Source organism: Homo sapiens, chromosome 18 (genome assembly GCF_000001405.40).
Source record: "Homo sapiens chromosome 18, GRCh38.p14 Primary Assembly".
NCBI classification, from domain to species: domain Eukaryota; kingdom Metazoa; phylum Chordata; class Mammalia; order Primates; family Hominidae; genus Homo; species Homo sapiens.
In genome coordinates, this window is record NC_000018.10 from 33,649,703 (window position 1) to 33,668,273 (window position 18,571).

At 35.7% G+C, this 18,571-nt stretch overlaps 1 protein-coding gene across 8 annotated transcripts in view; it reads left to right on the forward strand.

Moving 5' to 3' along the window:
• The window catches only part of ASXL3 (ASXL transcriptional regulator 3), a 172,977-nt gene that overhangs the window by 71,484 nt on the left and 82,922 nt on the right, over positions 1 to 18,571 (forward strand). For all 8 annotated transcript variants that reach the window (XM_005258356.2, NM_030632.3, XM_011526205.3 and 5 more), the window contains one exon: positions 11,914 to 12,035. In XM_005258356.2, coding sequence (XP_005258413.1) covers positions 11,914 to 12,035 — 122 coding nt within the window. The remainder of the gene's footprint in view (positions 1 to 11,913; positions 12,036 to 18,571) is intronic.

Here is an 18,571-nt window from a genome sequence, read left to right on the forward strand (position 1 = left end):
AAGGCAAATGTCCATAGAATTTAAGCTGATGTGGAGGTGAGTAAAGGATAGTGTGAAGAAGGAAGTCTCATTGGTGTGAAAAGGTTATTTGATCTGGTGTTCTGAAGGAAATGAGTTGGAAGTGTAAGTGATATGAGAGTGGAATGCATGGATTGAATTTAGGATACTATTATGGGATGTATTTTCAGAGCTGATAAGAAAGAAGGGGGCTAGGTTTCAGGCTATCAAGAGTGCTTAGGCCATGTGTGCACTCAAGAGTTGCCTGGATGAGGTGGCATCAGCGGCTGAAATTCAGCACCCCTCCATTTGCCCAACCTGGTGCTGTGGGATGGGACTGGGTCCACCTGGAAAAAAGATTGCCTTTTCTTTTTTGCACAAAGATGTTTTAAAGGCTGGTGGTGGCCCTTGCATAAGATATTAGAGAATCATCAGCATGGATATTGAAACAGACAATTATAGTAGAACTAACATTGACAAGATGTCATATTAGCAGCTAACATATTCAAAAAATCAAGGAGAGTAACCAAGAGTTGGCAGATAAGTACAGTAGGTTGAATAGTTAGTAATATAGTCTGATGGCATGAGATACAATGCTGGAGGCATCATAGGAACCAGGGAGGGAGAATGGTTTGGAGGGAACAGTGAGGGGAATATAGGTCACTTATTCCATTTCCAGGCCCAGTGGTACAAGAGGTGTAGAAAAGAAAAAGGCTACCACCTGAGAGCATTCCAGAGGAACCAGTGTCCTAGCTGGGAAGACAGCCAGATTTTGTATATTAAGAAGTAAAGGGAGTTTTCAGAGAAAATATGGAGGCTGCAGGAGATTTTGATAATGACATCCTAAATTCCAGAGGAAACCTTGGGAGTTTAGTAGCTGAGAAAGGGTGACAGATAGCATGAGAGCACTCAGCCAATAGTGAAACCAAAACAGGGATAAGCAAACTTCCCTAATGTAAAATGTGAATAGGCACTTCACCAAATAACACATACCCAAACATATCCAGCTAATGTGACAAAAATTAGATTTCCTGACCTCTCCTTTGAAGTTGCATTCGGGAAATTACTTTGGGAAAGCAGTGAAAGAATAGTAAATAGCTTATTTCCTTGAGTATTCCTTGACTTGCTCACTTTTGCATCTTATTGCAAACCACAATTGCATCTCCATGTAGGCACCCTGTGCTTCTATGTATAGCTTATTAATCTAGCCTTAGGACACATTTTCAAACCTAGATATTGAAAATGTATTGAGTACTTTTTTATTTTGTTTTATTTTTACCTCTGAGGGAACAAACTTAGCTTAAATGTCCCATCCAAATTGCAAGCCCAGGTGTGACACCAAAGGCCAGACTCTCATTACTCTGATACCTTGCCTGGAACCACAGGGAACACTTAGTAGCCAGTCATCATTGGTACGGTTTGCCTTTCCAATGTTAGTTCACATCCATTATGATCCTAAACTTAAGACTTTGACAAAGAGGAACCCTTGGCTTATCCCAATAAAATAGTGGGATACCACATGATTTCTTAAAATTCAATAATAGATTTCAGGAAACTGAACTGCTTTAGGTGATTTCCTTGCTTACTCTGTGTCTAATATATATTTGAACCAAAAGTTAGAATGGATATACTTTCCACACTTCCTACAGCTGTACAAATATACTTTGAAAATGTGATCAGAGAGAGAAGGTTGGGTATATGAGTGGATGTGTGTGTGTGAGGGAGCAAGAGAGAGGGGTGTGGGAGAGAAAAGTTGGAAAGGAGGGAGAGAGGGAGTGGGAGATGAGTACACCATCTGTTTTGCTATTTTATTCATCTTTCCTTCTTATATTCATCCTTTGGGATGAAAGACTGGGGAGTATTGAGAAGAATATTAACCATCAATTTGTAACATACCCTTGATGCGTTGAAAGAATAAGCCGCTGCTACCATAGTGTTATATTGGATTGACAACTATTTATTGACATTTGCTGTACCATTTAGGGGATAAGCAGAGAAGTATTTGAGAAGAAAGTATTTTGTAAAAACTGATAAGAAATCTTAGTTTGATTCCAGTCATTAACACTTGAGTCCTTAGGCAGAGTTAAGATAATGATTATAATACTTTAGTCCTCTTCTTGGGATCAACTGGGCAGGGAAACATTCTTTTAAAATGGGAGATGTGTTGCCAAGGTACTTTGTTACAAAGTTTTGTTGAAAAATTTTACAATGTAGGAAAAGTGGTATATTTTTAATTGTGGAATTTACAAGACACAGAACTATGGTTATGTGTTTCTTTGACTTCTGAAGAGTTTCTCAAGTTAATAATAATTAGACTTGAGAATGTAAACTTCACATTTTACAAGCTAAGCTTTAGAGATCAAAGAATGATTTAGGTGAATTACTTGATATATCCGTGTTGACAACCCATGACCATTTATGCCTATGTAAGTATAAATCTGTGCCACCCAAGTAAAATATTATAAATTTTATGGTCTATTTTAGTCAGAGATTTATGGGTATGTTTGTGTCTGAGTTGTTTTCTGAGCATAATACATTGATATATCGTGAGTTTCCTAACACATATTAAGTTGACTCACAATGTGTTGTTGGTCTGCAGAACTCATACATATTTTATATGAGATGATACCATCAGTAGACAGTCTTCGCTCTCTTCATCCTCTATCTATAAATTGTTATTAACAAGAAAAATTAAGTTTCTCCTTTTGTGGCCCTAATATAGTTCAGGCTTAAAATCAACAGCAACCATCCTATATATTTCTTTTAAATGAGGAAACTAGAGATTGTACACATTTTATCCACAGAGATCAAAAAAGGTTCTGCTTGCTATTAACCCTAATGGCTTTCAGGGAGGAAGCAGCACTCTAGCAAGGGAATTAGTATTTTAAAAGTTTCTGTTGGGGCAAAAAAAAAAAAAGAACATGAATCTTATGTTTTAGACCTTAGATCCCAGGGCAAATAATGATTCCAACATTTGAAGAATTTTATGAAGTCCTTTTTCATTATTCTTTATGGCCAGTTTTATAAGTGGGTTTCTGATTGTGTGATTCTTGGCAGAGTTGTGTTAACTTAATGAAACGTTACTCAGCTCACTCTTTGTTTTCATTGGCTCAGAGGCTACAGTTTGAGGGGTCTTTTATCAAAAGTGAAAAGTGTGTTAAGGAGGCCTGAAGTGTGTGAATATAATCTCAATTGAGACATCAGTTACATGCAGATGAGAAGCTTCATGGAGAAATTGGGGCATACATTTAAAAGGTCTGGACACCCTGGGGAGTAGTCACACTGACAGCTCATGAGGCAATTTTATACAAGGCTACAAAAAAGGAAAATGAGGGTGACTGTGGAGTTGTGAAGGGAGTGTTTTGAGTAACTTTGGAAGATGTTGCCCACCTACCCAGTGTCAGTTGGTATTCTGGTCTTGTTTTGCTGGAGGTTTTACAGTAACTTGCCTGTGAATGCTCCAGTGTAGTTTTACATTGGATGTTCTGTGTCTGCATCTTTGTGTTCAGGAGGGTGGGGGTAGGAGAGTGTCAACAGGCTTCTACATGATCGTGGAGAAAGACGACACAGTGTGACCAACTACCTGGCAGCCATTCCTAAGAATCTTGCAGGGGGCAGGAAGGATATTCCTTCTATGCCTGAACCAGGTCCCCTAATTTTGGGAGACTAAGCTAATTTGTCTTTCATCCAACAGCTCTGCATTTTAGGCAACAGCTTTGTTTGCTCATGGAGACACCTGCTCTACATTGGTGGCCTAGAGAAACTTAAGTATGTGAGAATTATGTTGTTTTAGTTACACATTGAAGAAAACACAGAGGAAAGCGAATACTCTTCACAGTCAGAAATGACCATTGGCAGGATATAGAACTTCCATTGCCCACTCTTTCTCCTTCTCCTTTCTTTTATTCCAGCCCCCAGATTATACAGTTCACAAGAAGTGTGAGGAATTTCAAAAGATCATGAAGCCCTGTTTCCTCTCTCCTGCCAGTGTTTTTCTTAAACCACTCAATTGAAGTAGACAATATTCTAATAGTATATGATCCGGGGGATAGAAATCGCACAGTCCCCCTTATACTTCTCCCTGTGTTCTTGATAACTTTTATAGAGAATATTTTTTTCTTTATGTTGAAATCTTTTGTGCTTTTAATTAAGCTAATTTGCTCCTTTTTTTTTTCTGTGCTCTGATGATAAACAACAGATGGTCACCCCTTCATCTTAACTTCTCCAAATGACTTATCCCAACTCTTTCAAACATTACTTACAGACACTTTTCATTTCTTTTATCTTTTAGAGACCTCTTTTTCTTACATATTTCCTCTTGAACTGTGAACTTCATTCCTGTCTAGATGGATTTTGGTCAATTTTAACAGTCCAGAGTCATGTAGGAAAACGTTTTCTTTTTAAATGGGATGAAGTGACCCATTTAAGCATACTTTCATCTCTCTTCTTGAATTGTGAGATAAATATTTCATAATATACAGATCAAGAACAGAATATGATCTCATAAAACTAAAGATTGAGAACAGAATATGATCTCATAATAAAACAACAAACTACTTCTCAAAAACAGAATTGAAGGTATTCCCTCAATTACACATCTTAACTAGCCAATTTTCTGTTTGATTTATATAATCTGTGACTGTAGATATGAACAAAACACTCATGTTCTTTAAAAAAAGTACTTTTTCATTGATGCCAGATAATTCGTTCTCACTTTTCTTTAGTTATATTGTATAAGCATTTCTCAAACTGCCATCTGGATAGCTAACCTGATTCCCCTTTATCGGAGTTTATAGTTTATATGATAAAGTATGAAATAATTAGTAGTGATGCCCATGAATGAAACACTTAACCTTGACCTGTGCCAAACTTTTGCTGATCTCCTTCCTGTCCACTTTTTTCTGTTTCTCATTTTCTAGGCTGATTGCTTTATTTCTGTGCAGATGTTTCAGGAACCTGATGCAGTGTAGATCACAGGGGTTATACCAGTATAAAATAAATAAGCCTCTGATGTCATTTTTCCCACACAAACAGCATATAGTATTATTACTCTCCATTACCCTGTGAGCGAAATCCTTGTTGGTTCTATGGTAGGAGGAGGTTAGGTGGCTAAAGGCTGGTAACTACAATATATGCTTTTCCTACTAAATATATTTATTTTTGGTTTGAGTTTTCTCTCTTCTGTGTTTAAGGAGATATTTTTATGAATATCCAGAGATAATAGTATAACTAAATTGGCCTGGCTGATAAATTGAGTACTTGTAGGAGAGATTCTTATAGCTACGTCTTATGTATACAATGGTCTTCCTAGTTACCTTTGGAGCTTCAGTGTTCTAACCAAAATGTTTGTGAACCATTTGTAGCCATTGTAATGAGGTGATGGCATATCCATTTCTGTGGCAGGTGAACGACATTTGCATCATATGATATCAGCCACCCAAATCACTAAGGTCTCTGGCATGATGACATTTTGCAGCAGCATTTTGTCACTCATATATGGTTGGTATAATTATTATCTGATTCAACATTCCTCTTGGTTTATTTTGCATTTTTTCTGAAAATCTCTTCTGAATAAGAAGAGGCTTAATTGGGCTAATGAAGCAGGTTATAAAATATAGTAATCATTCCAGTTACATTAGGTATGTTTCATTATAGAAGATATTGTTCTAAACGTTATAAAGAGAATCAGTGCTTGTAATTTTTAGACTCCATGTCCTTTGAAAGGGTCTTAGGAAAAAATTGCTGTTTCCATTATTTTATTGCTAGTATTACTAGCAATTTATTAATCTATTTACTGACTTTTCTTGGCAACTTATATCCTTTGGATTTTCTTTTAATGTAATAAGGAAATTTGCTTAAACCCAAATACCTATACCTATCTTGAAACAGATGTTTTTAGAAAAGGCAGTTCTGCTTAGGCTGAATGCAAAAAGGATTTTAAAAATAGAGTTCAGGAATGGTTTAATTGGGGTTAGATGGTTTTCCCTGTTCAAGTCTTTTTAACAATTTGTAGCATGTATTTTCTGGCTGTATATATCCAAAATATCTGATATACACAATTTCAAATGTAAATACTATACATAAAACAAATTATAACCCAAACATAAACTGTTGTGTTTATTTGCCATTTGGGGATACTTCTGAATTGTCTGCTTGTTGATCTTTCAAAACAAATTTATTATTGTTAAGTTTTCATCGGTAGTTCTCCTCAGGTAGAATTAATGGTCTATATCTAGACCATTGTTCTTTGAAAACATTTTTTAAAAATTCTTATGGCCTCCAACTCAGGTATTCTATCTTTTTCACTGTTTTTCCCCCAGCATCTTATACAGTGATTGGCATGAGGGAAAGTACTCAATAAAAGTTGTGCAACTGAATGATTCATCAATAAACCAATAAACTTCCTCTAAGACCCCGCCCTCTATTCAGATTTTATTGACTTCTAACAATGTACCACAGTGTTATTCCTAATACACTATGTATCCTTTGAGTTAAATTTTTTATTCATATAACTTTTTAAAATTACATTAGGAGGGAATACCAACCTATAATATATGTCAAGATCATTCATACAGAAAACTGTTGTGATTTGAGCAAATCTAGTCTGATTATTCAGAAGAATGAAAGGGAGTGTTTGGAAAGAGAACTTACAGAAATGAAATTGGTAAAAGGCTGCACCCCTCCTTGTCTTTATTAGGTCTTTGAGCACCAGTTTCCTCAGATAGCTTGTTACTTATTGGGTGGCTCAGTGGGACAGAGAGCAATTAATAGTACACAATATCGGTGTTGCAGAGACTATATAATGTACAGATCCTGGTCTGTGTTGTGGTTCTGCACCCACACAGCTTCTGCCATTTTATGTAAGCATTGTGATTTCTAATTTTGACTTTTAAATTTTATTTTTATTTCCCCATGCAAAAGCACAAAACTGACTTTACTCGTTAAATAAGACAATGAGTAAAGATGGCAAAGAGAAATCTATCTATAATTAGTGGCAGGTCGTGCAACTTCCTACTGTCTTGCAAAGGAAATTCTGTCATTTGGCTTTCATATTATCCCTAATTGACTTTAGAATAATTTGAGAAAATAATTTAAGAAGGCTTCTATTTTCAAGTTTACAACAATTCATTTTATACATACTTTTTCATAAAAAATAGCTTTGCTGACCTCCACTTTCATGAATTCTTATTAAAAATCATAGTTGAAAGTTAACTTCAAAAATACTTTAAACAAAATTTTTGAATTTGATACTTTAAAATTTGATTTTTAAAAAATTCAATGAACATTAATAGATCGACTGCTCTGTGCCCATCTTCGCATGTAAGTCCCTGAGTTTCCAAGCCTGTGGCTGCTGAGGCAGATGACAGCACCAGAATTGCAGGGACTGTCATGAATTTGTACACTAAATTCCAAGAAAGCATGGCTAGGGGAGGAGCAAGTCTACCTCAGAAGCTGGGACAGTCAGAGAAGCTTTGGGGGAAGCTGTTCAGAATTTGGACTGCCAAGATGAGTTTGCCAGGCAGAGTGCTGGGAAAGGATATTTGGAGGAGGGACAATCAGACCAAGTACAACAAACACAGCAAGTAGATGTGTTCAGAAGACACTGAAGAGTCTCCAGATTGGCTGGATTATAGAGGCTGAGAATTGGGAGGCTGGCAGGATGTGAGACAAGAGAGATAGATCAAGTTTGTATTCTGATTGCTCCTTTCTGTATATCCTGGGTTGTAAGTCACAGTTACAATTGTGGATGTCCTCTTGTACACCTGTCAGTGGATTAGTAATTACATTAGGAGGGAATACCAACCATATCCCCTCCCTAGCATGCAGCTTTAAAAATAGGAACTCTAATTTACATTTTCTAGTTCCATAGTATTTTCAAGTTGAATGGTAAATTAAAAGGAGAGACAGACAACTTGGAGACACTGAAGCCCGCAGTTTTGCTGGAGCAGTCACCAGTTCTCTAGCCTTCAAGGCTGTCTCATGGTTACCTATAATCTCCCACCTCCTTTTGCTCCCTGATCTTCTAAATAGAGTATTTTGAGGGAGGGTTTGGGGAGTGCGAGTAGAGGTATTGAGAGGCAAATTTAAAATCAGCAGATTAGCTTTTAACTATGCTTTTGGCTTGCCTATTTTTGGCAGGCAAGCAAAATGTAGACAGAAATAGTATTTTTATACCTTTTAAAAAATGTGGAATGATAAAAATTCTAGGGAGAACTAGTCTCATTTTGTTTCCTCATCTTCAGTTTGAAAAGGACAGGCTGTATTGTGGGATTTCAAAGTATAAGGTCCTGGCATTAGTTTTGTGATCATGCCAGTACATAGTTAGAAAAGATAGCTCCTGTTCTGTTCTGAATGCCAAGAAGATATCACTTTCTAAGCTGCATGTCAGTCTTTGATATTTATTGGATAAAACATCTGTCCTAATTCTTCAGTTTCCTGGCTCCTGTTGTAATTTTACATGCAAGGGATTTTCCCTGATCCTTTCTTTAACATTAATTTTCCTTTGGCTTGTATTTCAGAGGCCAAAGTCAGTCTCTTAGATAAATATTCAGGCAACTGTTTAAAATGAGTCCTTCATTATTTATTTATCACATCTATTATTAAGAAAGCTGCAAGAATAAGTAAAAGTGAAAACCTTGCATTTTGTCAGAATATGAATCTGCACGAACCTGCACAGCCAACTGTACTCAGTGAATTAGTGTTTTTAGATTCAGCTATTCTCACGTCATACGCATGGAAAAAGAATGAATAAAGCAAGTCAAATGCCCATGAAAAAAGGTCTGTATTTGTCAGTAATTTAAAAATGTGTATGAGCACACTGATTGAAGCCTATGGGTGAATTGCAAATATGTCCTACCCATTTTTTCTTTCCTGATTTTTTGTTCTTAAAAATAAGTTATTTAACCCAAAGGAACAATCACATACTTTTTTTCTGTTACATTTTGCTTTTCTTTAAAGTTCTATAGTTATTGTGTCAGTAAATAATTAGGGAAATATGGTTTGATCCAGAGAAATAAAGTAAGGAACAACTTCCAGAAAGAGGGATTAGGGAGAAAATTGACTACCTAGGACAGGTATTCTTGATGTTTTTCTTGGGTCTAGAATGGAGTGTAAGATAAAGCAAATAAAGTTGGGTTAAGGAAAATGAATCATTTTTAGAACAAACTGCATGGTATTCCTTAGTGCAGTTTCAACTGTTGTCCTGCCCTCCCTCTGAAATTCTGGGCTCTAAATTGAATAGAATCTTTCTTTTGGATACAACATATATAAATAGATGTCAATCACTATCAACATAGTGCCATAATAAATTTAACTCAAAATGTACAGTGTATATGCTGATACTGAAATAGGTATCCCAATGTCTGATGGTTTCCTAGGTCAGAAATAGAGCAACTGGTGAGCTATGTAGCAGTTACCCTCAGGAAGGACAGATGATTGCATACTGCTTATTTTCTTATTCAGAAAATAGGAGGGATGCGAGGCCTCAATTACATGTACACTGGGTCAGAATTTGTTATTATTTAATCCTGCTGAAGTGGAGTTTGCCTTTGAAAGACAGAGGAATAATAGCATTTTCTAAACAAATTGGAAGTACATTTAGACGCCCAGTATGCAGAAGCATTCTCATATTTTCCCTAAGTTCCTTAATATCTATGGACTGCATTTAGTTCTCCTTTAAACGAACTAACCTGTAAGTTTCCAATTTTCTAGATGTAAATGCCATTGTAAGAATGTGAAAGTAATAAAACATATATGCTAATGCACACTTTACTTTTGGCTGGGCATACATGAGATCTGTTCATTTGGGATCATATATTTTATCTGCCGTCTCTCTGTCACCTCCTCAGTTGGTCACATTTCATAGAGACTTCAGAACATTGAAAAGGCTATCTGTATTATCAGTAAATACCATAAATTTATGTTTAGACTATAAACTGATTATTATTTCTAATATTTCTTGATAAATAAGCTTTGGCAAGGTGTTAAAAATTATTCCAGTGATTATTTAAAGGAGAGAAGCCTAGGAAGCATAGTTTATGTGATCAATGTAATAAACTGTTTCTTAGCTAGAACATTTAGACTGTCTTAAGCAAAAAAATCATATTAAGTAAAAAAAGTCATATGATCTTTAATTCAATGACTTTTCTCACTATATTCATCTGCAAATCTTTTTGCTACTTCAACCATAGTATTTCCTAGACCCATCACTTACAATTCTAAGTTTTTCCTTGTCGGGGGCTGAGTGACTTGTTTCCCCCTGCCTTTGTTAACTTCTAGTTTCAGTATCATGCAACTAAATTATGCTTCTTTAGATATGATATTTTCTGTATCAGATCTTGACTTTTGAAACCAAATATTGTAAGTGGAAAAATCATGGGTTCTGGAGCTAGACTAGGCTGGCCTTGAATCCCATCTCTGCAGTTTCATTGGCCCTATGACCATGGGCAAGTTATTTCACCTTTTTGAGCTCTAGTTTTCTTCCTCCATTATAGAAATATATACCTTATTGTGTTACAAGAAAGCTGCAAGGATTAAATCAGATCACATGTTGGAAGTGTATGGCATTAATAACTGTTATTTTATTTTCCTAAATTTGTTCATTTGTCTTTCTGATTACTTTCTGTATTAACAAAAAACTTGATTATTTTCTTCCCAGAATTGCCTCTCACGGGCCGCATAGTTATTTCTAGGCAAGGTGTGCTTGAGTCTATCAGAAGCCACTTGAGTGTTCTCAAGGTGCATATGCCTGTGCTTCCTTTGTTACTACAATAATTTTTACTTCTTCACCTTCTTTTAAAACTCAGGTCAGAACCCTCTCAAGTTACCATCACTTGGAAAGTTTTCTTGAATTAGCATTAACCCTGGTGCCCTTAAAAAGTCATGTTTTGAGTTTTTTTACAATATGTTCTCAAGTTATTTTCTTCTGACTTCCTCTTGCCTCCTGCCTTTGACATATGCCTCCATTCTGTCGCTAATCATAGTACTTCCTCGTTTTAATTTTCCAAACTCCTTCTCCCCCAGTGTATACAGAAAAGGGCCTGCATCTGTGCTCCTACTCAAACCATTTCAGTGTTAAAGTCTCTCAGTTTGAGAAGGAGTCAAATGAGGACTCAGAAGTCTGTCCGTTTGAGGAGAACTAAAGGTAGAGTTCTGGCTCAAACATAGGTTTCAGAGAGCAGACACTGCCTGTGGGCTCTACTTGGTCACCCAAGTCAGTGAGACATTGATTCTCCTAAAAAGCGGTCTTTTGGAAGAAAATGTCTTCTGTAGAATAGACAACATGCAAGCCTGACTCTGATAAAAATGAGCAGTTGTACTGTAATCTGTGAGAACACCATTTTCCTCAAAATAATTATCTTGAATTGATAACAAGCATCTCAGATTTCTTTTTTCCTTATCCATGCTTTATGACTCAGCCCATAAGAGAAAATAAACATGTCCCATAGGTCACAGATTCTATAGTAGTAAGGCTGTTAAGTAGAAGCATCATAATATCTGTGAGGCTGGGTAGATTTAAAACAATTGCATTAATTTATATTGTTTTTTTTTGTTTGTTTTTAGAATACTATGCATTGCCTAATCTCCATATTCAAATTCAAATAGTACCTACTGACTCCCAACTCCTGAGGCAGATATTGTCTATTTTTTATGTCCATACAATAGCTCAATGACATAGAAATTATCATCAATTTGCGGGTTAGGACAGGAAAGCTTAAAAAGGTTAAATGGAATTGCGGCCACACAGTTATTAAATGATTCCTTTTCTTCATATGTAGATACTATTCTTTTTACTGTGCTATTTTGCTTTATTTTAGGTATCCATTTTCAATTGCAGAAAAGCTCCAAGTGTGTAATTACAGTGGATATAAAAAAGGAATTCAAATTAGTAATATCATTATCTCTCTCTGTTTCTAGTTTGTTCGAAGCAGGTAACTGATGAAGCATCTTCCACTCGAGATTCAAGCCTTACTAACACAGCAGTGCAAAGCAAGTTAGTGTCTTCCTTCCAGCAGCACACCAAAAAGGCTCTTAAACAGGTAAGATAGCTGCCATTTATTCTTTGTCCTTCAGTTCTGCATACTTAAGGTAATGTGTGTTTTGCTGATCAAGTAAACAATAACCTAGCAATCAGAAAGCAGAATCTTCCTGAATTCAATCCCATCCATGATATTCAGTTCAATAATTTTAATCTGTGATAAAAAAAAACTAGGAGAGGCTTGACTGAGAACTTTGATGTAAAATAGAAGAAGGAATATGCACCCACTGAAAATATGTAAAAATTTGTATTAACATTTTGTGTGTCTATTTATGATTTATAGTAGTAAATCTGTTGGGTTCATAAATGCATTGCATATTTAAAAAATAACATCTATGTTTTTTGTGCTTATCTGATAGTATAAAAATAAATGATAATTTATTTCTTGTTACTGAGATACATTAAGTTACAAATAAGAAAAATAGTGTTGCTTACTTATATCTGGAATATTCATTTATGAGTGTTGTTTGGTGCTGAATGGCAGTTAAAGTTGCCATATTATTCTGCCGTCACAGAGGCAGTACGGGCCTTTGTGGCCTTGCACTGAGATGGTGCAGGGATAGACACAAGGTTGGGCTCTGGGCACGGACATGCCCTGGTTTGAATTCTTGCTACTCACCTGCTGTCTCTAGCAAGCCACTTCTCCTCTCTGAATCTTAAATTCATTATCTAGAAAATGTGGGAAATAATAGTATCTTGCTCCTGGGATTGATCCGAGAATTAGCTGAGGTAATAGGATGAAAGCACATGGTAGAGTGAGTGGCTCATAGAAATAATAGTGACTTCTGTCATACTGGCAAATGCTAAATTGTGCAGAGAAGAAAAGGAGGAGATGTTATGGTTAGATGGAGCCATCGTATGATGATAACACAAAGAGTGTCAGTAAATGGAAGGTTCACGTATTTAATTCTGAATTCATAGTTTCCCCTTGTTTAAGTGCTTTCCTCTGATACAATCATCTATTTTGATCCTTCTATAACAATTCCCCCTTCAGCCACCCATTGATGACCTTTACCAGATCCAGGATTAGAGGTATCATTCTAGCGATATATTTATCACAAGGAAAAGAAAAATTATGTTTTCTAAAATAGAGTTTTTTTAAGTTCCACCAACCACTGAAGCTTCTTAATATGCACATCCAAACTTCTAGACTTAGACATCTCTACCTATCTTCTCCTGTACCTCAGACAAGAAAACATAGGAAAGAAACTTAACATGGTTATGCTGAATTATGTTACCTTCCTATTTCATATTATTGACATTGCAGCATTTATATTGAAGGTAGTAACAGTATTTCACCCTGCATAGGTCAAGTATCCTTTGGAAAGCTTGCCACTTACTGCATTTGAAATGTTTTAGATGCCAGAGAACAAAATTGAAATTGGTGTTGAGATCCCTTTTTAATTGATGAAATAAAAAACAGCTGTAGGTAGCAAAGCCTGGGCTACTCATTCAGACAGCAAATAAGATGCAGGTAATAAAATACTAACCAGAATAGAACAAAAGATACAAAAATGGACACTTGTGGCTGTGGCATTTAAGAAACATAAATGGGATCATAAATGAAACTCATACTTCTGAGGTTCAGTGACTTGGAAAATGTGCACACCATGAAATCTTCCTGTATATGAATGGAAATATAAAGGTACAACTCTCTGTATTGTTCTATATCATTAATTTGTACTTTCATCATTTTGGTTTTGTATTATTTGAACATTTTTTACGATTACTAAAACATTACAAAATTTTAAGTGATTTTTTTGTTTTTGTGTTTTTTGTGGAGCATATATTCATGGGAACTGCCACTGCTTGCTTAGAGTCTAAGCTTTGTTTTAAGAATCATGTCCTGAAAGCTTCTTAATGTCCTGAAAGAGTTATTAATTCATTTCTTAAAACTTCTGTTTTCTAACCTATAGCAAATAAGTAACCAGGAGAATATGGCTCAATATGTAGCAAATATGCTAATATTTGATTAATAATCAAATTCAGATTGGAAATATATTTAGAAGAAAAGCTATTCTTGCAGAATTTTGCCCAGATTCCATGTAATTGCTGAATTTCTTAAGACAGCATTGCAAAAATTGACTGAACATGCAGCATTTTAAACTGTAGCAACCTCAGCAAATCTACAGCTTTCTTTTCTTTTGGATAGCTGAATGGCTATGACCATGTAGAATTTTTGTAAGTGTATTAAATACATATATATATATTTCCATATACATATGATCTGTGTTTGTGAATATATGTTTCTTGTGTATGTATACATGCACAATCATAATCATATGAACCTAGGGCCAGCAGAATGATCTTAAAAATAATTACATTAGCTGATAATTAGCTGTTATGGTTTCTAGACACTGTACTCTCCATTTTACGTGGGATATATTATTTAATTCTCATGCAAATGCTTTGAAGTATGTACTTATATCCCCATTTTTCAAAGGAAAAAACTAAGACCCAAGTCAGGTAACTTGCCCAAGATCACCCAGCAAGTAAATCTTAGAGATGATGTTTGAATCCAGAACCGTAGTTTCAGATTCTGCCCTCTTCACAAATACTGCCTTTCAGCATGTGCTATGTAATAGTATAGACGAATTTTTGATGCTATCCAAGAAAATCTACATACTTGAGTTGTTATATAGCATATGGAAAGCAATACAGCATAGTTATTAAAAATAGCATTTCTGAACACAGGCTGCTTATGTTCAGTACCAGCCCATACTGATAACACACACTCAAATATATGTCATTGTTATTTTATTAGAAATATGTTGTGATTCAGTAGGACTTTAGTAGTCTATACATTAACCAGCGTAGACTCTTAGAAATAAGTAGATTTAAAAAATTCCTAAAACCAAATAGCTTTATAATCATAAGTGGAGTAAAAAAAATAATTTACAACAAACTGTCTTACAAAATATGCCAGGCATAATTTCTCAAGTCTGAAGGCCTGTACTTTCTACCCCTGCCTAAAGCATGTTGCTACAGAGAGGGCTACATGTTTACAGGGCTCTTTGATGTCATAGCACTGTTGATTGCAGTGTAATTGTAAGCTGGACAATCTGGAAGCTATAATGTCCCTTGACGATTGACATGGAATATTTTTATTGCTCCCAAATATTTGAGTCCCTTTTACTTTCTAATCCTCAAAACGTTAGTTAACATCATATGTTGGGCATAATTGCATGAATAACATATTGTTATTTCAGTAGTTGTCTTTTTTTTCTGCATAAGCATATTCAGAAGCCTCTGGAGAGCAGCAGATTGCTGATTATTACCTTGTTCCCTGTCTTCTTTCTGCCTGGGTATTTTAGTTATGATCCTAAAAAGTGTAAAAAGATTAGATTTTGAATTTTAAAATATAATTCAGAAAGATTAAATTTTGGAAATTTTAAACCGGCACAAGATAATTAAAGGTTAAAGAAGGATGAGTTGTGTTACAGCAAGTGACATGGTAGTGAACATAACCTTTCTATGTTGTTTGTGTTGGTTTATTTGACTTCCTTCATTATTTAGGGTGGTAGAGTTTATTCATAAAGTTGCAGATGCATTTTCTTTTTGATATTGCAAAGCAGATCTATTCTTGGTATTTTGCTTTAGCTTTATATGTTTGACCAATACTGTGAAATTCCAAAGGTTATATTGCATGATAGTAGTTTCTGAACATGGGCATTGACATTTATCACACTAGCGGCAATGCAAGTTGTTGGTGCCTGAAACAGCCCGCTGTTTTCTATGTGTATTTCTAATCATTTGACTTTTAGCATTCACAGCATGTGATATTTTCAGATTTTCAGTGGAAGAGTTACTGCATTCGATGCATTCTTAAGCTACATTGCTTGTGTTTTTTTGTTGTTAAAATAAAGCAGGCATTACTTGCTTAAAATTCCAAGTTAACACAAAAGCCTCTGATTTGAAGTTTTATTTTATTTTTTCCATTAGGATAGGAATGAAACCAATCCATATTTTTAGAACTATCTAACAGGCTTTCTGTCTGAAAAATCAAATGTTTATTTAAAGGTTTTTTTTTTCTCTTTTTGGAAGAAAGTATTGCAATATGTCACTGGAGAAAAGCATGCACAGTCAGCATCTTTTGATTTCTTTCCTTGCACTTAGAGCCAGAATTGAATTGATGTGAGTGTGATATGATCTTTACTTTTCCTAGACTGCATTAGCTATGTTGTGTGTGTTTCCTTTGAAAAGTGCATTTATTTCTAGGGTTAAGCTTGTAAATTTCTTTCATATTGAATAATACCTGGAAGCATTAAAGTTGAAATCCAATTATACTCCTTCTCATAACACCATCGATATTGAAATTGTACTCTGTGTGGTTTGGACAGTGGAACATTATACATATGACCGGCTTGAAGGTACATTCCTTCATAGTAGACTGCATTTACAGTCACCATCTGCTTGTTTATTTTGATTCTGATATTGCTTCTTTCTGGATTTGAAATGACAGAATTTAAAGTTGTTCTACAAGATAGTCCATTAGCATTCCACAGTACAGCTAAGGCTTGAGACAGTTGGAGGTGTCTCATTTATATCCCCCCCTGAAATGAATCTAGACTAAAATAGACTGATTATGTAATATCTGTCAAAATAAATCACATTATAGACAAACCAACAGGGCCACCACTAGCTAATTAAGACTTTGATGTGTAATAGAAAAAGCTGCCCCTTCCAAGTTGTCACAACAAAATATAACATCCCCTCTTTTAGGGTACCCCTGTGCAGGACACAGCATCCATGACTATCTAGAGTGATCTTCTTAATCCTATTTTCTTAATCTATTCCATGAATTTATAATATCCAGGCTGTGAGATACCCAAATATAGATAATCACAAGTTAATTTGCAGATGATTTCTATTATATATGTAGCATAAAGTAAAGTAGGAATTTTCTTGTTTTCTTAGAATTTCAGCAAAAGCTCAAAGCTGCAGACAGTATGATACCAGTAACCCTGTTTGGAAGAGAGGTGTTAGACATAGCCTCACAGGACTAAGAGAAGGCCAGATGGTCGATTGAACAACCCCCAACAGATGTAAAAAAAAATAACTCAAGATTTGGGGTGTGTGTGTTCCAAACCTTGTATTTTGAAGGATTATGAGATTTGTTAAATCAGAGGGCTGACCATAATGGCTAGGCTACACGTCGTACAGTGGGACAAGGATGCTGACTGTGCTTGTGGCCTGAGCAGGTGCTGAACAGCTAGTCAAGCATGGGGAATTTGTAAAGACCTTGCCTAGGAAAGCTGCCTACTTAGGTGAGAGGAGCCCTGTATATAGAGCCTGCACTGAGGGGAAGTGCGGAGGTCAGCTAGAGAGAGCGTGGTTTATGTCAGTGTTGAATGTAGTTTCAGAGGCCTCCCAGCAAAAGCCTCTTATGTATCCACTAATGCAGGCCATAAAAATCTAGCAGTTGGCCTTCTGCCTCCCAGAAGGTTATGATGTCATGGCTATGACAACACTGGTTAAGATAACTTTGCTCTAGTCTTCTCACTCCTATTCTGAATCCTAATCCTGGGGATCTCAGAAAAAAAGAAAGAGGAAACAAAGGAATAACAAAATCAGGAAACCCTTTCCCAGTGAAATTTCTGATTTGAGACCTAGGCATGGTCTGGGGAGGCTAGAAGGGAAGCTTTATATTTGACCTCATGTTTTTAATCCTGAATATAAGTCCTCGAATCTAATTTATAAAGCCTTGGCAACCATTTTGGAGTTCTTTGCTTTCTCTGTAAACTCCCTACTCCTTTTTTCCATCTACTCCGTTCTTTTTTTGTTTTTTGTTTTTTAATTTCTGGAATAATGAAAAGTTATCCCTGCTAGTGGATGTGATACTATTTTTTTACTTATTGGAGACTCCACAATTTTCACGCAACCACTTTCTTCTTGTCATTTATGTCTCACTTCCTTTGTTGCCTCCAGAGAGGCCGTATCTGACATCCCACTCTAAATTGGTTCTCCCCGCCCAAGTTACCCTACTTCATCTTTCTGGCATAATTTTCTTAGCACTTATATGTGAGTGAAACACTTATATTATTTCATGTATTTCCTTGTCAATCCTTCACTAAAATGTGGAATAATTAAAACTACTGTCCCTATTCACCATTATAAATCAGCAGCACTTATGCTACCATAGAACTGAATAAGGTCTCAAAAATGCATTGGTTGCAGAAAGGATAAGTTATATAAATAACAAAAAATGATATTTGTTGAGTATTTACTATGTAAGGTAAACTCTGCTAACCACTGTTGTGCAGATTTTCTGTTTAAAGCATCTTGCCTGCACTACTACCTCTGTTTTGTAGGACATTGACCCAAGTCATTTACCCAGCAGCTAGTTAGTTAAATCTTTCTCTACAACTCCTTAACCACTGCATCACACTGCCAATTTTTCAGAAAATTCTGAAATTCTATAAAATTCTTCTGTAATCCAAGTACTTTGGGAGGCTGAGGCAGGGAGATCACTTGAGGTCAGGAGTTCAAGACTTGTCTGACCAACATAGTGAAACCCTGTCTCTACTAAAAACAAAA